The sequence below is a fragment of the Homo sapiens genome, chromosome 4 (assembly GCF_000001405.40).
Source record: "Homo sapiens chromosome 4, GRCh38.p14 Primary Assembly".
Lineage (NCBI taxonomy): Eukaryota > Metazoa > Chordata > Mammalia > Primates > Hominidae > Homo > Homo sapiens.
The window spans coordinates 21,545,036-21,568,173 of record NC_000004.12 but is presented as its reverse complement, the minus strand read 5'-3'; the positions used below and the strand labels follow the sequence as shown (position 1 = coordinate 21,568,173).

Sequence of the window (23,138 nt, the reverse complement as noted above, 5' to 3'; positions counted from 1 at the left end):
CCAGGATTGTCACTTATTAAGTTCACACAAGTCTACCATATTATAATACGATTTGAATTCTATTTATCCTCCCCCTCAAAACCTAGTTTTGAAAACAGGGCAATATTGTTGCACACTCATGACTCTCTCCCTCAGGGCAAGTTATCATGGGGAATATTTGTTGAATTAAAAACTACATAGCAGCGCTGACTATGGCCATAAATATATGCTACTTATTATCAAGTACTGTTCTGGCTCCCCTTCTGCGTTGTGAACTGTTTGGGACTAGGAATCATGTGTTTCTGCCCCACTGGTACCTAGAAAAATGTTAAGCTTTGAGATGAGGTATGAGTTATCACTCACGCTACTTGATAGAGAACTGATTCCTCAGGATACTCAATATTGTCGTGACTACAAAGTAACTTCCATCCTCATCCAGTTTTCAGTTTATATTAGACTATTTGGGTGGGGAATGGAAAGGTATTGTTTTTAAAGTTATATTCCCTATCCTGTGGTATTTCAGATGGTTTATGTATTTTAGTTATCTTTGCTTTCCCTGGCTCTAAGCATGATGCTGGCTATATGACATGTTAATTAGGTTGCATTGTACACATCAGAAAATCCAAATAGTGTTAGCTGATACAACTTAGTGTTAAATTTTTATTATGTATACTAAGGTTTTTTGTTTTGTTTTGTTTTATTCTACTAAGATTGGTGCTTGTGTCTATTCATGAGTTCTGGCCTTTACAAATTCATCCAAGAAGCAAGAAAGAGGGGGTGGCAGGGAGGACAATGGGCCCCCTTCCATATAAGTCTAGACCCCTATAAAGAGGTCCTCAGATACATCAGCCAGTGGCTTCCATTCATATCTCATTGGCCACCCCTAGCTTCATGAGAGAAGGAAAAAATATAGGTATGTGTATATATACACAAATGTACACATATCTATATAATATATAGATCTACACATATATATTTATTAAATTGGGTACTTGCTAATCTTAATAAAATTGTGGATTTGTTCTTAAAGTAGAAGCAAGCATATATACCGGGCAGGGAATTAACTATCTTTGTCATAGTGATTATAGGAGATAATTAATAAATGCTGGTTGTTCATAATTGAAGTTTATTAATTTGACTTTTTAAAAATATAATAGGAAATAACAGTTTTCGGTATTGATAGTTACCGTAATATAAATGAGGTTGTTGGTGAGCCTGGCAGTTCTTTTCTGATTTACACAAATCTGGCATTACACAATATAGAGGTATTTTGATGTGTTACCTTTTGCAGTTTGGCTTTATGTCCTGTATGTGTGCGAGGCTGCATTTGTGGGTTCCTTGATGTTGCAGTCACATATGACTGTTCCCCAGCAACTGATGTCTGGTTCAATAGGAATCCTTTGACCTCTCATCAGGAGTAAATCTCTCAATCCACCTGAAATGGAAGCTCTAAGTCTTCTTACTCCCAAATGTCTCTAAGTATTGTCTCTTCCTTTCTACCTCTACTGCCTTGTATAAGTGTATTAGTCTGTTCTCACATTGATATGAAGAACTATCTGATACTGGGTAATTTATAAAGAAAGAAGGTTTAATTGGCTGACAGTTCCATAAACTGTACAGGAAGCTTGGCTGGGGAGGACTCAGGAAACTTACAATCATGGTGGATGGCGAATGGGGAAGCAGACATGTCTTACATGGGTGGAGCAGGAGGAAGAGAGCGAAGGGGGAGGTGCTATAAACTTTTAAACAACCAGATCTCCTGAGAACTCACTCACCGCACAAGAATAGCAAGGGGGAAGCCCACTCCCATGATCTAATCACTTCCCAATAGGCCCCTCTTCCAACACTGGGAATTACAATTTGACATGAGATTTGGGTAGGGATACAAATCCAAACCATATCAATAGGTCTATTCACCTGTTGTCTAGAGACTGTGACACTGGTGTCCTGACTGGCCTCTTGCCACCTGTCTCATCCCAGACCAACTCATTCTTCACACTATTGCCAACATTAAATTAAAAATACTTTCGGCTCCGCCCTGTCTCTTGATTGTGGAATCAGAGGGATCTCACAATCCAGTTCTCAGTGACATTGACTGTGTTTCTTTACCTGTTCCTGTATGTGACTGTTGCTCCAACAATTCCTGTCTCCCATTAGTTTCCCTACAGTTCTTTGCTTGCTCATGCTTCCCTGCTTATCAGATACTATTGTTTCTACTTAGAGCATCCTTCTTTTTTTGTGCTATCTGGCAGATAAATTCTACTTGGATATCCAGAGCTGCTTGAAACATCACTTCTCTTTAAAGCTTTCTTTGATTTGGTCTGGCAGAATCAGTCACCAGTTTTCCCCATGGTCTAATCCCATTTTATATTTCAGCAATCTCTTTAGAGCTCTCTGCACTCCTCATTTTTCTATGAGTTTTTCAAAAATAAGAGCTTTAAATTACTCAACTTTTTATATACTTTCTCCTCTCCTCACCCAACACAGTGCCAGACACAGAGTATTCTGTAAATGATTATTGAATAGCTATAAATCTGTAATGAATGTCATTGCCAATCAGTTGCTTTAGGTGAATGTTGTAGGAGATGGTACTATGTGGATGTAAAACATGAATAGCCGTATGACACAAATAGTTGCCATTTCAATGTACCTATATGCCAGGTTTGAGGCTAAATAGTTCACATATTTATGTTTATGAAAGTTTGAAACTACCCTACAGTATTTGCCATGGACTGAATTGTGTCTCAAAATTTGTATGTTGAAGCCTTAACACCCAATGTGATCATTTTTACAGGTGGGGCTCCTTGGAGGTAATTAGATTTGGGTGAAATCATGAAGGTAGGGCTCCCATGATGAGATTAGCACTTTCGAAAGTAAAAGAAGGGAGACCAGAGATCACTTTTTCTCTACCATGTGAAGATATAATAAGAAAGCGGCCATCTGCAAGCCAGGAAGAGGGCCCTGACGCAGAATGGCATTAGCCAGCCCCTTGGTCTTAGACTACTCAGCCTCTGAAACTGTGAGAAACCAATGTCTGCTGTTTGATCCAACAGGTCTATGGTATTTTGTTATGGTAGCCCAAGCTGATTAACACAGGATTTTTATCTCCATTGTATGCAACTTGCCTTGGGTCACTCTGCTAGTAAGGGAAAGCTATGGTTTGCATATTAGCCCCCAACCCAAACCTCATGTTGAAATTTGATCCTCACTGTTAGAAGTGTGGCCTAATTGGGGGAGATGTTTGACTCAAGGGGGTTAGATCCCTCCTGAAAAGCTTGGTGTTGTCCTTGTGGTAATGAGGGAGTTCTCCCTCTGCTAGTTCCCTTAAGAGCTATTTGTTAAAACAGAACCTGGCATCTCCACTCTCTCTCTTGCTTCCTCTCTCACTGCGTCACCTCTGCACACACTAGCTCCTTTTTCCCTTCCACCATGAGTGGAAGCATCCTGAAGCCCTCACCATAAGCAGATGCTGGTGCTGTGCTTCTTTTACAGCCTGTGGGAGGGTGAGCCAAATTAACTTTTCTTTATACATTACCCAGCCTCAGGTATCTCTTCATAGTAACACTAAACAGACTAAGACACGGAATTACAAATTTTCTCCACATTTATCTGAATTATAGCTATGCTCTTAGAAACACACTCTAGTGGCTTGCTTTTAAGATCATGGGCATATGTGACAATGAGCAGAAGACTGAATGTAAAGAGCAAATAGAAGGTCCCCCACTTATGATCCTGGGTCATGTGCAAAGGAAGTCACATGTTAGTCCTCCTCCAATGTGTGAGTTCTTTTCCACCTAGGTTAAATATTTAGTCCATTGAGGAGTGGGTGTTGGAGGGCTGGATAGGTGCACATGAGAGCTCATTTCTGAATCTTAATTCCTCATTAAATCCATGGAAGAAGGACAACTCTGTTCAACTTCCTACTTCCCATTTGAGAGCAAGCACCTCATCTTTGCACTCAACGTGTAGTTGAAAGAATGACATCAATGGAAAAATGTTTTAAGTTACAGAAATAAAAAGAACCACAATCTATTTTACAAGAGAATAATAGAGCAGGATGTAGGGGAGATCCGTGGTTTTGGAGTCAAGTAATTTTTGTTGTAATTTCAATTTTCTAATCTATCAATGGATATAATAGCAATAATACTCATATCACAACACTGAGATAGTAGATAAAAACAATGTCTTAGATATATTAATTGCTTAGTAAAAAGGTATATGATTATTCAAGATCTTCTACTCCTTTTAAACAATTTACGTGATTCTTTTAGTTAACTGAAGAAGTGAAATGCATTATATCATGCACTCAAAACAGGCAATAGATAACCCTAAACCTTCAAATCCATTATCTCCTCCCCTACTTAAAACATGTTTTCTCATCTGAGATCCAGGTCCTAGTGTTTCCCAAGACCCAGTTCAAATAGCGTCACTTCTACTTTCCCTCCTAGTCCTCTCTCTCAGTCAAAATTATCTTTCCCTGTCTCTGAATTCTCTTAGCATTTGAACTAAACCTTTCTTATAGGACTTAACATATTTTATGTGTCTCTCCTACTGTCATATTTGAGTACTTTTTCTAAATTATCTATATATTGAGTAGTAGCTCATTAAATATTAGATTGGTAAGTGATGAACAGAGCACCCATTCATTAATTTAGCATTTTGGAATTTTCGTTGCCTATCATATCTGTTATCCCATTTGATTTTCATATAAATTGTGGAAAGATATGTAATGCAAGTAATGCAATTCCCAATTTGAATATAGTAACACACAGAAAGATTAAGCAATGTTAAGCAATGTGTCAATATTCACACAGCAAAGGAGTTAACAGACTTTATGTAAAAATTTGACTTTTCTGATTCTTCTTCCAATGCATGTTCCATCATCATGTTTTTGGAGAAATGCTTCAAACACACAGAAAGTTTAAAACATTAAGTTGAAGGAAACCATTTGTGTTTGAATCATTTTTTAACATATCCATTCCTTCTGCCAATATATACAAATGTGCTTGTGGGAAATACCTATCTTTAAAAAAAATCTAGTAGTTATTAGCATTGCAAAATTATGGCCCTATGGAAACTGATCCTTTAGTTATAACATCTGTATTATTTGAATCAAACATATTTAAAACATCAGACCAACCAACAGAGAAGTAATGTTTTTAAAATCCTTTAAAACCTAACTGACATTAATGAGAAATTACAATTTTAAATGCATTACCCTTGTAAGATAAATCAAAGGTAACAGTAATTAAGATAATTGCAAAAGATATTTTGGGTTCTGTGTATTTACGCGAGTGTTGAGAGGTGGAATATAAATGTGAAAGTATTTTTGTTCACTTTGGTATCTTAAGCTTGAAATAATTTTTAGGTCACAACACTTTTTCATATTTAGTTTAAAATCTGGAATTTGATAACTCAATTTTAAATCCCTGCGTGTGGACAAATTTTCCAATTTTATAACATAAAATACTTATTAAAGAGAGGTTTGCTTTTGTTGTTGGCCTTCTAGAAAATATGCAGTTTACTACAGTTTTTAAAAAAAGTTTTTGTTTTGGTTAAGAAATTTTCCTCATTTCTATTTAATATGCAATAAACATGTGTTCTTTATTTGGTTCTGATAATAAAAGTCATCAAGTTACCACGAAATTCCCAAATGTTACATGTTATTTTGTTGGAGGCATTTAAGCATGAATGTTTACTCGGCATAAACAATTAGCATAGTTAAAAGTGATTCCCACAAGCTATCCAGAAAGAGGTGAAGGGACCATTTAGATGTAATGTGCTCATATGTGCATTCTTGGTAATGGCTCTTTAATATCAGTGGTCAATGGCACATCCACCTCGGTAAATTAAATGTTGATGATAGTCACTTAAACTCTAAGCATTCATTCTGACTCCTTTAGAATTGCTTATATGTTTTAATAAGTATTTTGGCAGTCTTATGTATCCCAGGGTTCAGCAATTTTTTTTTTAAATTAAACCTTTGGTTTATTTGTTTTGTATTCAAAAATGACTCTTTCATAGTTGTTTTCATGGTGAGTGAGCTAGTTACTAGAATGTCTAAAAAGGGCAGAAGAAGGCAAATGGAGAGACAGAAAGGAAGAGAAAGATTTTGCTACTTGTAGATCCACAGTAGATGACCAGAGGATTTTTCTCAAAATTGGATAGTTTCAGGAAAAGTCCCAGAATTCTATACCCTGACCAAGCTATAATCACATCCTAATTGTCTGTCCTTATTGCCACAGTGTTTTCATTAACCAGATCTGGGTCATACGTTTACCTTTTGAGCCAGGGCACAGGGTCCTTCTCATAAATGAACAATGTGGAAGGCAATGTGATTTTCCAAAAAGCAAGGATAGGTTCTGTTATCCAAAAAATAAGTGATTTATGAACGATTAAAGGATGTAATGTATGTGAAACTCTTACTGCCATCCCTAGCAACTAGGTAAATCCTCAATTACCATGCATCTATCATTCTTTCCTTAGTAAAGATGGTAAGTAATTTAATTGCCTTAACAGCTTTTTTTAACTTTTTTGTCTGATTTTTTTAGTGGAAGACAGTATGCATAAAACCGGTCCACTCCCCAAAATAAGGAAAAACAATAGAACTGCTGCTGCCCACCATCATTTAAATGGCCACAAGTAAAAAGACAAGTCCTATGAGTTGTTTCTGAAATTATTGTTGAGGGAAATAATTAAAAATTTCTGAGTTACCATTTAATCTTTGGCCTTAAATGATCAAACAGAGTTGTCTGTCTCAATGCTATCTAAGGAAATTGTAGTTCCATCCCTTCTATTTTTAGTCTTTAATCGGTTCTCCCTTAAACTCCCTCTTTCTTTTCTTTCTATCAGGGAAATATATTGAAACAGAAACAAACTTTTTAATAGATTTTATTGTTCACATTGGAAAATGCGTGGCAAAAAGATACTTCATTCTTCTTTATATTCCCACTAATACCCCCAAAAGGTCCTGAGGACTTTGAAGCTCCCCTAATGGAAAAGGTTATTTCTTAATAATCTGTATTTCTTCAGCTTGCTCCAGTACATGTAAGTAATATTAAAGTGTGCAATCCAGACTCCAGCTGTGGCAAAGCAGAACACTCCATGTAATGAGCTCTATTATTTTTCCCCACGCAATTTAATAGCCCAATAACTTTAATACCAAAAAATGTTTCTGAGACAAGTCAAAATGTGGTTCTAATTGTATTGTTTTATTTTGGCAGCATTGATTTCTTTCCTTTTAATTCTGCAGTACAATCTACTTGCTATCAACAAATACAAGGCCTCATTTTTCATTTGTGGAGGCACCAATCTAAACATCCTAAAACAGCACACAGTATTGTACTTGTTGGCTGAACCCTCCTAGAGGGTTACAGAAATTAAAGTTTGCTATCTTATTTGAATAATCATGAAATATGCCCAACTTTATTAACCTCTCCAAAGGAAGGGAATCAAGTCAATCAGCAAAATAAATAAACCCCAAATGGTTTCATTGCTGATGCATTAAATGATATAATGTGAGGTGGTACTTTATCATTTTTATATCTTAATATTACAACAGTGTTCCATGAGTAAGAGCTATATATGCTGAGTTTTCCAGGTAAAATAAAACCTTTGCTCAAGTCACAAAAAGTTGCTTAACATAAATAAAATCTTGCTGCTGAAATAACTAAGGCTATTTTGTGGTAAGTGCTAAGATTATTTGGCTTAGATAATTTCAAGTCTGTAGTTTTTGTAAAATGAGCTGTATTTGTGAATATTTAATTTTCTGAACTTTGATCTATAATAGGCACTTACATGTTTACGGATACACTTTAAATTTTAATAAGGCTCAATTGCAAAAACAGCTATGGTCCATTTGCTTCAAAGGCCTTTAATCAGAGTTATGGTAAATATGTAGATCCAATAATCTGAAAATCAGATGCAGAGTTCATTTTACAATTGGAATGGCCCTATGGGAGATGATCTTAAAGTTAGGAACATTTTGCATCAGGATACAAGTGAAACAAAGTTCAATTTAGGCGCTTGTAAAGTATCATTTGAAGCCCATTTGCATTTACACTATTTGCTTATTTTTAGAATATATATGAATTAGTTCTCCAGGGGGAGAAAAACAAATGGCTATATACAGAAAGAGAATGAAATATTATCAAAGATGCATCATCTGATTACAAAGGGGAAAATCAAAGTAAAATGAAATAGATCAAGTAAGGGCATAAATCAAGCAAGAGGAAATAATTCCATGAGAAATGAATAAATTAAAAGTTATCCACAGTGTAATTAAACTGCTGAACTAATTTCTTTCTGCAAACTTAGATATTATTCATGTGAGAGAATGGGAGAAAGAATAGAAGTAGTAAGAGATACAGATGATAAGCCCTGAGTTTTAGTTCCATTTCTGCCCCTAAAATATCATGGAACCATCGACTAATAATACATTTTTTCAAATTCTTGGTTTTCTCATTAGTAAAATATGGTTGATACTTTCTCTGCATAGTCTAGAAGGTCTGTATGGTTGACATTAATCATTTTCTTCCTTCAAGACCCCATAAGTTACCACCTTTTCTCTGAAGTGGCTTTCCTGGCAGAGTCATGGTGTCTTCTGTTCTTCCATCAGCAACCTGTTGAGCCCTCTGTTATAGCACAAAATTCACCATGTGTGTCCTTCTGTATACTCCGAACTCCTTAAGGGACAGATGCCATCAATTAGTCCTTGAATGGGTCTGGGTATGAATACATACATGGTGAATGCATATATGGTGAATGCTTATACTTTCATTTGCCAGTACCTACCACAGAGCTTGACAAATGGGGGGTCTACAATATATCATCGAATGAATAAAAGCACTTTGAAACTGTTTCCACTTTGTGACTCAGTGTCCTCATTCAAATTGTAAGACTTGGATTAAATGAACCTCAAGTTCCACTCTAGCCCGACAGAGAGGTGATAATTATTATTATAATTATTTCCCCAATTTATTTGCTGATGATTATGTGGTACTTACTGGTCTAGGGCCTGGTATTCATTCCATTTGGTCATAAATAGACTTATTCAGGTGGCTGTTAATATCCCACTTTTACAGTTGAAAAAACTGAGGCTTAGAAAACTTGATTGTCTTTTTCAAAACAATGGCTAAGTTTATATGTAAATTAAGGTGGTTCTGATTCCAAAGCCTATGTTCTTATTCACTAGGTTACAAGGCACAAAGACCCTTATGCATTATGGGTTCAATTTAATTTTTTTGACTTGAAATACACTTCACAGCATGATGAAGCTCTGGTAACTTACACTATCAGAAAATAAATTTCCAACCAGTAGAAGAACTGCTAATACAGTTCAAAAGCTACTTGCCTCTTTTTGATCAATAAAGTCTTAACATTACAACATCCAGCAAGCAAAATCTACATAATCTTTGCTTCACATTTCAATTAGTCTGTTGTAATGGCATGGCTTTAAACAGGCAAGAAATAGTTATTTTTCTTTAATCATCACTTTGATCATTGTAACTAGATGCTCCTGATAGCCTTAGCCTTTGGACATGGATTTTTTTTCTTGTTAGTGTCACCTAATATGACAGAACTCTCTAATGAGACTAGCAATGTATAATTTCAATTTCTTTTGGCAAATTTAAATCCTGAAAAAGCACAGACTGAATCTCATTTATTTTGTTTTATTTATATATTTATTTATTTATTTATTTTTGAGACAGAATCTCACTCTGCCGCCCAGGCTGAAGTGTAGTGGCGTGAGCTCAGCTCACTGTAACCTCTGCCTCCCAGGTTCAAGCAATTATCCTGCCTAAGCCTCCTGAGTAGCTGGGATTATAGGCATACGCCACCACACCTGGCTGATTTTTGTATTTTTAGTAGAGACAGGGTTTCACCATGTTGGCCAGGCTGGTCTCGAACTCCTGGCCTCAAGTGATCCACCTACCTTGGCCTCCCAAAGTGCTGGGATTACAGGCGTGAGCCACTGCACCAGGTCCTAAATCCCATTTAAGGTAACAGGCATAATACTTGCAAATGTCCTAAATTCATACCAAAGCTGATTTGTAGCACAGCCCTTGGATGCAGTGTGCTCTCTGGTTTACGGGAAGTTTCTGGCTACCAACACTGCTGGCCACGGCACACCTCTCAGCTAACTTTTAAAAATCAAAAAGCACCATAACCACTTTTGCTCACAGTAGACTGTATTCAGACTCTCAGCCAGAAACCTCAGCATTAACCTCAATTTCCCTTCCCATCACCCTTCATTCGTATATCCCATGTACATTTCTTCATCTCTGGGGACAGGTCTACCTGACTACCTGTGGTAGAAGAATCCCCACATCTTCCTTCGTAAGTTGTTTTTCTATAGTTACAAAGCCCAGGAAGGAAATGGAAATCCCAGTGCCAGTGGCCTATGTGTATCAATTTAAATCATTTGGGAAACATTTGACTTTGGGTCTAAAATTGGAAAATTGAAGCAAATGCCTAGGATATTCTGCTGTCTCCAAAAGGCACCTTCATGGAAGGACCAGGTTGGTACCATGGGCCAGAGAGTAGATGAATGGGACCCAAGTGGTGTATTTGAATTCACTTGGGACCAGATTCCTACTCTCTCTTCCATAACCCCATGACGCATTGCTCTCTCCAGCTTTCTAATTTGAAGATACAAAACTGATTTTCAGGGACTTTAGAAAAGGACAATGTTTTCATAAAATCACCACTAAAATATTACAGAAGTCATGAGGTTCATCCATATACAGGACCAATGTTTTTTACATAGCCATGTCAAAGACTAAGTAGATATGGTGGCAATTTTCAGTTTTCTATTTTTTTCCAATATTGTATTTTACTTTTCTAATCTTTCTGGCCATTTTAATAATGACTGTGAAATAATGTGATTCCGGTAATATCCACGGTGGAAAATAGTCAAAGTAATTACATTATTTTTGTCACAGTATAGTCTACTAGCGATGAATATTAACTCTAGGAAAGTTCATCTCCGTAGAGCACTAAACTTTGTGTTGCAAAGCACTCAATATTTATTTAAGAGAAAACAGATAAAACAGTCACATGACGAAACACATTTAGTAAGTGCTCCACATGGTACCCACTACTGGAAGATATGCAATGCATATATTTATATTAAACATGGTAGTGATAAGTCCTACAGTAAAGTAATATGTTTAGTTTAACTCAGCATTTTCTTTAACAACATTTTTATATAGCTTTAAGTAACGTCTACTGATGCATTTTTGTTTTCTGGTTTTTTTTTTTTTTTTTTTTTCTGAGATGGAGTCTTGCTTTGTTGATCAGGCTGGAGTGCAGTGGCGTAATCTCAGCTCACTACAGCCTCTATCTCCCGGGTTCAAGTGATTTTCCTGCCTCAGCCTCCTGAGTAGCTGGGATTACAGGCACCTGCCACTATGCTTGGCTAATTTTAGAATTTTTAGTAAAGATGGGGTTTCACCATGTTGGCCAGGCAGGTCTGGAACTCCTGACCTCAGGTGATCTGCCTGCCTCAGCTTCCCAAAGTGCTGGGATTTCAGGCATGAGCCACAATGCCTGGCCTCTGATGTATTTTTGAAGTAGTATTCCATAGAAGATTCTTAGCAATAAATTGTCCTATAGAGTTATTTCAAGGTAACTAGAAGTTTGAGGAAGCAATAATGGCCAATCACTTCTGCAATCATCTGGTTAAAAGACAAAGTCCCATGTCATCCTTGAGAAGGCTAATCACTCTCATAAATTTGGTTTGCAATTCCTTTGTAAACCAAGAAGATAGAAGCATTGACTTTGTTGTTCATCTCTGAAAAGTAATCAACTGTGGGAATGGGGCAAGTCATTTAACTCCTCTAGAATGGATTGTCCTCTTCTTTAAATTGGATGTAGTGTTAACTGAATCATGTACCTAATATATTTGTTGATAAAACACATCATACAATGGCAGAACCATATTTAAAAATGGTCACCAATTATCATGATTGTTATAATTATCCCTAAATTGCTCTTCCAACTCGAAAGCCAATAATCTATGAATATTCCATAGTATTCTCAAAATCCATTTTTACTCAATTACAAAACACACATATGTTTCTCACCCCTTTTGTCGAAAGGCTGTTGGCTTTACAAATTTATCAAGCAAAATTCATTCATGTCAATAGGATATTGAGGCACAAAAAACCAAAAGATACTCTTTCCTTTGCAATATTTAGGATCTAAAATCATTCCAGGGTTAACCGAGTGTGCATTTTTCACAGCGCACAGCTGTGTCTACAGACACAGCTGGCACAGCATGCTTCCAGCCTCTGATGGACCAGCAAACTGGACCTGAATCTGGAGTTGAGATATGAACTCTGACAACCAATGTAGAATGACTGGGGACATGAGTCACAGGAATCCTAATTTTGTCTAGATGTGTGACAAGAGACTCTCACTTTAGATGCTCTAGATAGTAATATATTTAATATGTATTTGAAGAAAAGTATTTTTCAAGCATGACAAAGAAATCTACCTGAACTGGTTTTTATCTCCACCAGTATTTGAGCATATGTTTTGTTGAAAATGATTCAGGTATTTTTTTTCTATTTCATATCCAAAGATGCAACCAATTTTATTCCATATTCTTCTTGCCAGGAAGATCATGCTTTAATGCAGCTTCACATGCTCAACTTTGATGTTTTATTAGGCAAAGCTCAAACAAGAAAATTTGATAAATCAAGAAAATCAATATTTCTAAAAACTTTATTGCCCTGGAAGTCCCACTGAAGACCACAGCTGTTGGGTCCATTCATGCTGGAGTAATTGAAGGGAGCAAAGCAGACTCTTTTCACTGCATTTTATTTTTGTGGGATGGTTCACAGATTTTATTGATTTTCAGAACTCATGTGCATGACAAATACAGCATGGCTCAGTGAACTCAGTACATCACAGTTACGGAAGAAAGCAGCTCTCTGCATTGATGATTTGGCTTCTCCATTGCAGTGACTTGGAGGGTGACCTCAGACAGGTTAATGCAGCTTGCCCTGCCTCTGTGATCTCAAATTTAACACAGGGGAAAGGACGTACCACTATTTCGCTTCTTGAGGCATTTGCAAGCAAAGAACAGGCTAATAACTGTGTACAGTTCTAGTGAACTGTTAAAAAATGTTTAGATGGTCATTGTGTCCTGATGCTAATGTAATGCCTTTCTATAGGCTATTCATTAAATAACAGAAGAAAAAAGTCTATGTTTATTTAAATAGTGGGATGGAGAATATATAAACCCAGGCAAAATAAAATTGAATAGGACCAAGATTCACTCATTCATTTAACATTTATTCAGTACCTAGTGTGCAGTGTGCTAGTTTCTGGTAATATGAAGATTAATAAGATTTACATGTGACCATAAAGAACTGTACAGTCAGAAAAGGAGGAAGGCTTGTAAACAGATGGTAATGATAGGAGAAAGTAGGCACCCAGGGCAATAAGCGCCTTGGAGCATGGAGGAAGTGTGAGTGACCTTATCTGGGGGACGTGACACAAACCAGGGACAAGCCACAGCAGAGTGAGGGGGCACACTGGGGAAGGGCATGCAGGCAGAAGGAATTGTTTCTGCAAACTCGTGACATGTTCAGTGAAGCACAAGATAATGAAAAGACATGGTAGGACAAACTGAATTTAGTTCTAATATTGGCAAAGAATTGCTCTTGGTGTTTTCTCATTATCAGAGCAATTATTCGAGGATATTATAATACCACTTAAATCTTTAGCTCCACGTCTGGAGTTTGGTTTAAAATAGAATGTCTGCCTTAGAAATTGAATATGACTCTGCTGTTCTTAGCCCAGTCTTGGCTCCCCATCAAACCTAGAATAAAATGCAAAATCCTCTTGTGACAAGCACAGCCCCCTGCTCTCTTTCCCTGCTGCTGGCCTGCTCACTTGCTGTGCCACCAGCCACTCTGATTTTTCTTGACTTTCCTGGCTCAGCTCTCTGCATTTGCTGCTCCTTCTGCCTCTAACACATGTCCCCCATATTGCATGTCTCACTCTCTCAGTCACATCTTAGCTCAGATGTCACCTCTTCAGGAGGCCTTTACTGACTGCTGTCTCCAAAGAGCATCCTCCACTCACCCTTATCCCCTTATATGGCTTTATTTTTACTTTAGAGCATTTATCACTACTTGGCATTACATAATAATGTATGTCCATTTACATGCTTAACTTCTAACTCCCCATAGTGGGTTGAATTGTGCCCCTTCCCCACTGAAAGATATGTCACTCTCTTAAGCCTGAGAAAACCTGTGAAGGTGATTTGGAAAAATGAACTTTTTAGGTATAATTAAGGTAAGGATTTCAGGACAAAATCATTTTGGGGTAAGTCCTAAATCTAGTGACCAGTGTCTCCATTAAAGAAGGGAAAGGTGGAGAACAGACACTCTCTTGATTTATGCTAACAATGGGGGTAATAATAACAATAGCTAATATTTACACACAAAGAACTTTGTTTCATTTTATCCTTTAACTATGCTAACAACCACATAAGATGATGAATTATCATGACCCCATTTACAACCGACTAAATTAAAACTCAGAATAATCCTGGTGACATCTCCTGTGATCACATGTGAAATGCCTCATCAGGGTGCCTCACCAAGCAGAATGGAGAATCTCAGGTAGGACAAGTGCATTTTAAAAGGCTTCCAGAAAAGTGCGTCTTAAAAGGCTTCCAGACAGGTGAGGCCCATCTCAGTCTCCATGCTTCTTATTTATCTATGCCTCTAGCATTGGCATTAGTAGTAGAAAAAAGAAGTGGACCTCCATCGGGAGTGTAAGATATGCAATTATTACAGCCGGTATTTTTATACATATTATCACATTCAATTCTCTCAACGCCTCTGCCAGGCTGCTGTCATTGATTTCAATTTACGGAACGGAGATTAACACAAACCTAGTGAGAGAAGTGAATGGCAGTTTGAAGTTTGCTATGGTTCACTTGAACGTTTCTGATCTTTCTGCAATAAACAACTCTCAGACTACACTGATCTGTGCTCACAACTTGTTATTCCAACTCTTTTATGACCCCCCCCTTTAAGCTTTCAGATGTTATTTTCTAGGCTTTTACAACTAGTCTGCATTGCCTGGCCCTTTTCATCTGTGCTTTCTTCACCCTTTTAAGAGAGACTCCCCCCTCAACCCCCACTGGCCACCACCTAATGCTTGTTTCCCCAAGAGTCTGAGTGTTTTTGCTGCTTTCTCTTCTGGACAGCTGAGTAGGATGTGAAATAGGAGGTTCTAAAACAACCTTTGGAATTTCCATGGCTCTTTTACACCCTACTTTAACTCAGCAGAAATTTTATTTTACTTTTCTGTTTTGCTTTCTTGTCTTCTTTATTTCCTGATGCTCCTTCTTCTTAACTTTGTGAACCCCAGGAGGTCTGGGAATATTGCTCTACAGCAAGATAAGCTACTCTCAAGAAAGGTCAATCTGCCAACAGAAGCCTAAAAAACTAAGTATTAAAAAAATATGCTTTGCTGTGACAAGTACAGATAACAATCTGTTCTCTACATCCTCCTCAACCTCTATCCCGCTTTATAAATAAAAGTATTCTCAGTTGCAGACATTTTCAAACTTTATGGGTATATCTAATCAGGATACAGGCAAGAAATAGTCCAGAGTAGGGATTTATTATGCTTTGTAATAACAGGAGGAAATAGCAAAGTGCTCTTTGCACTCTATATTTTCTCTTGGGATGATTACTTTTTAGGTGCTTAAAATAGTTCTTGTAAGGCAAGACTGGTAAACTGTCTCAATCCACTAAGTTAATTTCTAAGGAAAAAGACTAATATCTTTCATTACTATCATTGTTTGCAAAACATTTATGACTTGTATTTCTATTGTATCCAGTAGCATCTTTACTGAGTAAATAAATTAATCAACAGTTTCATTTCAAGATCTTGTGTCTGTAGGTTGAACTGAAAGAGTTATCACTAAATGGTAAGATTAATGCATTTTTTTCCAAATGAATGTAACCTGGGGAAGCAAATATTGAATTAACATTTTCTAATTACAGCATTCATTAATAAAACTTTACTGCACTAATTCCATTACCTAATCGCTGTTGAAAATAAGATCTATATATTGTAACACAAAGGTTTTTTTTTGTTGTTGTTTTTTGTTTTTTTTTTTTTTAAAAAAAGCTCTCCCTTGTTTTTTCAATCTTCACAATAACCTAGATATAACTGGACAGGTCGAATGATGTCTACATAGGCAGAAACAGAGGCTCACTGGGGAAAAACTTGCTTGGAGTATTTGAATATTTTACTGTATCTGAAGTAAACATCTCTTCACTGGTATCCTTTCTCGCAATAATACAATATTTCTTTTATTCTTCTATTTTGCACTGCCACCTCTATTCTAATATGCATTGGCATTTAGTATAGTGCGGTTAGGGGAACAAAAATTCTAAGGTAGGAAAAGGAACTAAGGTCTAAAGATCCAGTGGATACTAGGCAAGGTTAGATATTTCACATGTGCTATTTAATCCTCATGAAAAATTATAATGTGCCCTCTCCAAGAGAGAAGAAATTGAGAACTCTAAAAGCTCCACATTTAACAGGTTTTGGCAGAGTTGCATTCTTTCCATTGGAAGGAGAATAATTAATTTTTTATCAGGCTGTCAAGGATGTTTAGTCTTTTTGGTAACAGTTCACAGCACTAAGACACATTGGACTGTCACATTTCTATGAACTGTAGCAACTTCAAAGATCATTTAATAATTCATCAGGGAAAGTTTCTAGTATTGTAGTGGCAAGAAGATATGAGACTGGCTATAGATTTGGCACAGGTAGAAATTACAGTTATTCAGTGTGGTAAAATTTATCACTGTAAACTGAAAGAACCAAAAGAATTCCAATTAGATATCTTGTCAGTTTTATTATTTGTATCACTGTATTCCTTTTGAATAATCTAAATGGGTTTATATGTTTTCCAAATATAATGATGCCCTTATAAGGAAGTTTTTAGCATTTAAAATAAAGAAGTAAAAAGATATTTATTTTCTGTTTTTTATATTAACTAATGTTTTTATATGCAGCAATTTATTCACATATATCTACGTCTATCTCCATTTTTCTCTCTTATATATAGACACATACAATAAAAACTGTAGCTCATGTTTGCATGTTTTTGTTTGTTTCTGGTTCTTTAAATCTTCAAGAATGTAATTGGATTACAAACTATCTGAATATGCCATGAGTGACCGTAAGTGACCCTCTAAAGCGTTTTAAAGGATGATAATACAACTGACTACGGAAGGGGAGAGAGGAGGTACTCTCTGAAATTAGGCATGGCACTGTGTCATGCTGGCTTTGGCAGATTCAAAAGATTGAGAACTGTGGTTTTTTTGAAATTTTAAAATTTATGTATATGTTATGCTCACACAAAATTTCTTTCTTCAAGATTCATAATCAATAAACACAGGAAATAGCTGTCCTGGAATCTTCTATTCCCCAAAAGTAACCTGTCATAGAGGTAGCAATATGCAGCTTTATTTTTCCTTTGGAATTTATGAGTACCAGTCTTGGATTGTATCTATGGGTAGGGAGGTTAAATGGACAAGAATCAGGGACCGATGATGCTATCAGCCTTTAAGGAATTGTATGACATGAGGAGAAACTGTAATAGAAAGCTGGTTTTAGCAGCAGCTGAAATGACCCATTGCAAGAGAAGAGAGACTAGCGACAGATAAAGTACTAAAGAGAAATTTTCGATGAGGCTATGAATTTAGCATATTCTCAGGCACTCTAATCTAATTTGTTGTGACCATGGGGACTTCGGTGAAAAAGAGCTCCCTCCTTCCAGTGCCCATTATTAATGTAGTTTACCCTCTTTGACTGATCAAGTTTTCAAGCACAGAATTGCTTCCAATGTTAATAGTCACAGTCATCTGACCAGCAGTTAATCCCTTTCTCCCATTGGCTATTAGAGGAGGAAGAGTTTATGGGCATTCTCCAGCCATGTCTGTGATTGGTCCTGACCTTGAAGACCTGCCAATGAGATCCATGGAGAAATTTGAAAGACTGTTTTGTAAGCAGCCTTCTCTTCCTTGCAGAATTTTCTCATAGCAGACAAATCTAAGGGGGTTATATGCACTAAAACAGCACGAATTTAAATCAGTGAAGATGGAAGGCTGCCATCATGCCATTATGCTGTAGCTGGACCTTATCTGACATGTGGTCAGCTTGCTTTTATTGGAATAAATCTAACCAAATAGATTTGTCTACAATTTACAGACTTACAGATTGTTAGTAGTGGAAGGGACTTCTGAAATCTAGCTCAGCTCCCAGATTTAACATGTGAGCAGAGGGTTCTATAGGATATACTACCCATGTATCCAGTCTCTCTGGAATCCAATTGTCCCAAAGTTAATCTCATTTAGGACTTTATCCTTCTATGCCCCACTGCCCTTTTTCAAATCCAGGCTCCCTTTACTGTCTGAACAAGTCACTTCTCTATGACTCAGTCTCATCATTAGTAACATAGAAGTAGTGTATTAGCCCATTTTGGATTGTTATAAAGGAATTGCTGGGGCTGGGTAATTTATTTTAAAAAATAAAAATGTTTAGTTGGGTCACAGTTCTGCAGGCTGTATGGGAGACATGGTACCAGCATCTGCTTGGCTTCTAGTGAGGCCTAAGGAAGCTTTTATTTAAAGCAAAGGGGGAGCAGGCATGTCATATGATGAGAGAGGGAGCAAGAGAAATGTCAGGCTCTTTTAAACAACCAGATGTCACAGTAAGTAATAGAGTGAGAATTCACTCATTACTATGGGGAGGTTATTGAGCCATTCGTGAGGGATCCACCCCATGACCAAAACCCCTCCCACCAGGCCCCACATTCACCATGGGGGATCACATTTCAACATGAGATTTGGAGGGGACAAGCATCCAAATTGTATCAGGTAGTTATGGTATATAGGTCATTTGACTTTTGTGAAAATTAAAATGAGCTACTATGTGTCTGGCAAGTAGTAAACATCATATAATTGTGGCTATCTTGTGTGCTTGTGATTAGCATCTATTATTGGAAGAAGGAATGTACTGCATGGTATTTCTAGAGACCATTGCTTCTCAACTAGGAGTGCTTTTGGCCCCAGGGGACATTTGGCCTGGTCTCCATTTTTGATAGTCCCAACTCCAGACTAGGGGACTGCTTCTAGCATCTAGTAGGTGGAGGCCAGAGATTCTTCTAAGCATCTTATCATGAGTATGTCATTCCCCACAGTGAAGAATTACCCAGTCCCAAATATCAGTAGTGTGGCAATTGAGAAACCCTGCTCTGTATGGAAAAAATAATTTGAATCTTAAGTATGAATTTAAATTTTTACAGAATGCTTAAATTATAATTTATAGGTGAGAGAGGGTTTCCTCATTTCAACCACATGCATATAAGCTATCCCTCCATGGTAAGGCATATATGTAAGATTTATGCATTCATATCACCTTCCCCATTCTGCCCAAGTAATTGGCTCTTGTGATCTAAGCAATTTTAAACCATCCATTTTTTTTTTGTATATGAGAAGGTATACATTATTAGCACTTTATGTAATGAGTATTCAATTGGATTATGTAGATAGTTTGCTTTTTTTTTTTAGACTTCAGAGTGAATAGAACAAGAAATCTTATGATCAGCAGTCATTATAGACATATTTGCAGATACATTTTATATGCAACAGTGATGTGTTATTACAACTATTGAAATAGAAGACTTTGTGGCCAACTTTCCCAACCATTTACATTGTTTTCAGTAGTGCATTGGAAGTGTTCTTCCCATCCCAGTGGTCCTCTTTTTCTTTTGATGTTTTATTGATGCAAAGAGACAGTTCTGACCTTCATATAATCTGCAAGGATTTTTCTTTTTATTTAACAAAAGAAATCACAAAATTAAATGTACTACAAGTTGAATATCCATAATCTGAAAACTTAAGATCCGAAATGCTGCAGAATATAAACATTTTTGAATAAGTGAAGACTTGCCATTTTTGATTGCTGGTGTTTTTAAACAGATAACAGGTATTCTGGTGACACTGCTGTGCTCCTTGGTTACCCTGAACATATTATGTTTTCACTGCATTAACAATATGCCATATATTTTACTGTTAAGTACTTATGTGTGAATAAATGTAAGAAAATAAATGCTTATTAATAGCATATAAATTCAGAGTCAGGAATGATAATGATGCCAAACAACCACAGATTGTCCACATGGGTGGTTGAGATTGGGACACCTTTGCTTTCTGATGGTTCAGTGTACACAAACTTTGTTTCAGGCGCAAAATTATTAAAATATTTTATAAAGTCACCTTCAGGCTATACGTATAAGGTATATATGAAACATAAACAAATTTTAGATTTAGGCTTGGAACTCATCCCCAAGCTATAAAATAGCTTCTATCTGCAAATACGTATGCAAATATTCCAAAATCCAAAAAAAATCTGAAATCTAAAACACTTGTAGTCTCAAGCGTTTCAGATAACAGACATTCGGCCTTATGTATCTGAGATTGTTTAGAAATCGTAGCCTTCCCCAAAAGCAGTTTTGTGCATATGCTTAAGTTTATAGGGTAATATGGTCCCTTTAAAATTCTGAATAACCAAGAGACTACAGGGACTGTTGCCCAAAGAGGAGAGATAATGCTTCCAGCTACACAGTTGTTACATTTCATTGTGAGCAATATTATCATATAAGAGCCTCTTTTAATGAAAATATTAACACAAAACTCTGCCAAAGGAGCTATTTTTAAAAAGTGCATGTGTCATATATATAGATATAATCTATAAATGTACAGACATAAATATGTATATATTTAGTTTAATTAAATTTAAACATAATTCTGTATCTGAAGATTTTTTCCTTCTTTTCTTTGTTGTATTAGTCAGCTATGGCTGCATCAATGCTGTGTAACAAACTGTCCCAAAACACAGTGGGCTTGCAATTCCAAGTATTTATCTTCAGATTCACAGGTCTGTATGTGACTTGGTTCAGCTGATCTAGACTGGGTTCTGCTGGGAGACTCAGTTGAACAGCAGATTTTGGCATTTCTACTCCACATTCATTTGTCCTAGTGCCCAGTCTCAGGGGCATGGTTTGATCACAGTGGATCACCACAGCACAAGAGCCAAGCCAAACCCAGCAATATGAATGTGATGAGGAAATATTTTTTTCCGTGGTAGAAAGGAAGAGAAATTGGAGTAGATATTTGTAAAATAACATTTCCTATTATCATACCTTCTCTTTATTTCAGATAAGAATAAATTTTCTCTTTCTTCTGGAGTTTTTAGTTCTGCCCCTTGAAACCTCCAGAATGGAGACCAGTTACCAGAAACGTCAACCCAGATCTGCAGAGCCCCATTCAGCTTGATGTTCTATGGTACACATCTATGTTTTCCCACATTATAATGATATGTTAATGTATGCATGGATATGGTTAACTTGTTAGAGACAATAATTTAATTATAGACTCAGACATTCCACAACATAAACAACTTATCATGGAAGGAAGACATAAGAATGGCTCAAACATTCAGATTTAGTATGAGTATAATTATGAAATAATATGCCAATTAGGAAATGCAAATACCTTTTAAGAAAAACAAACATTTTAGAATATGTTATGTCTTCTCCTAGAAAGCATACATTAGTGAATCAGAGAGGAAAAAGAATATACAATCTTTCGGTTCATGGCAAGTTAGTTTCTGTTTCTCTCTCTTCGAATTACATCTATCTGTCTTGGTCTCTTGCTATCTCTGATTTATTTTCTTTGCTTTATATGAACTAGGGCTCAAACTCCCTGTGAAGAGTCAACTTTTTGCTTTTCCTTAGTTTAGACTACCCATTCAATATAAATCTTGTAATCCTGATAGAAAGTCTGTGAGAATTCTAAGAATTCTAAGAATGGCCCCCAATAACCCCTCACCCTTGCAAAATAATTGTGGGTAGAACCTAAGAATATGGTGAAATGTCATTGCTATGATTATAGGTCCCCAATGATTGACCTTCAAATAGCAAAATTATGTGAGTGGGTCTAATCTAATCTTGTGATTAAATCTAGTCCTATAATTCCTTTATTATCCAAGAAGAGATCCTGATCAAAACCCCAATAAAGGGTTCTTAGGTCTCGCATAAGAAAGAATTCAAGGCAAGTCCATAGAGTAAAGTGAAAGCAAGTGTTGGTGGGAGTGTACATTAGTTCAACCATTGTGGAAGACAGTGTGGCAATTCCTGAAGGATCTAGAACTAGAAATACCATTTGACCCAGCAATCCCATTACTGGGTATATACCTTAGAGATTATAAATCATTCTACCATAAAGACACACGCACACGTATGTTTATTGCAGCACTATTCACAATAGCAAAGACTTGGAACCAACCCAAATGTCCATCAGTGATAGACTGAATAAAGAAAATGGGCACATATACACCATGGAATACTATGCAGCCATAAAAAAGGATGAGTTCATGTCCTTTGCAGGGATATGGATGAAGCTGGAAACCATCATTCTCAGCAAACTAACACAGGAACAGAAAACCAAACACTACGTGTTCTCCCTCATAAGTGGGAGTTGAACAATGAGAACACATGGACACAGGGAGGGGAATATCTCTCACCGGGCCTGTCGTGGGTTTGGGGGCTAGGGGAGGGAGAGCATTAGGACAAATACCTAATGTAGGTGACAGGTTGATGGGTGCAGCAAACCACCATGGCACGTGTATAGCCATGTAATAAAACTGCACGTTCTGCACATGTAACCCAGAACTTAAAGTGTAATAATAATAAAAAAAGAAAGTAAAGGAATAAAAGAATGGCTACTCCATGGGCAGAGCAGCCCCGAGGGCTGCTGATTGCCCTTTTTTATGGTTCTTGATTACATGTTATCCAAGGGGTGGATTATTAATGAGTTTTCCAGGAAAGGGGTGGTTAATTCCCAGAACTGAGTGTTCCTCCCCTTTTTAGACCATGTAGGGTAACTTCCTGACATTGTCATGACATTTGTAAACTGTCATGGGAGTGTCTTTTAACATGCTAATCCATTATAATTAGCGTATAATGAGCAGTGAGGACGACCAGAGGTCACTCTCCTTGCTATCTTGCTTTTGGTGGGTTTTGATGTATATCTTGTGCTGACCTCCTA

General features: G+C 36.8%; 1 protein-coding gene across 5 annotated transcripts in view; it reads left to right on the top strand.

Moving 5' to 3' along the window:
* The window catches only part of KCNIP4 (potassium voltage-gated channel interacting protein 4), a 1,220,167-nt gene that overhangs the window by 380,599 nt on the left and 816,430 nt on the right, over nt 1-23,138 (top strand). The gene's annotated exons all lie outside the window — the stretch shown is intronic.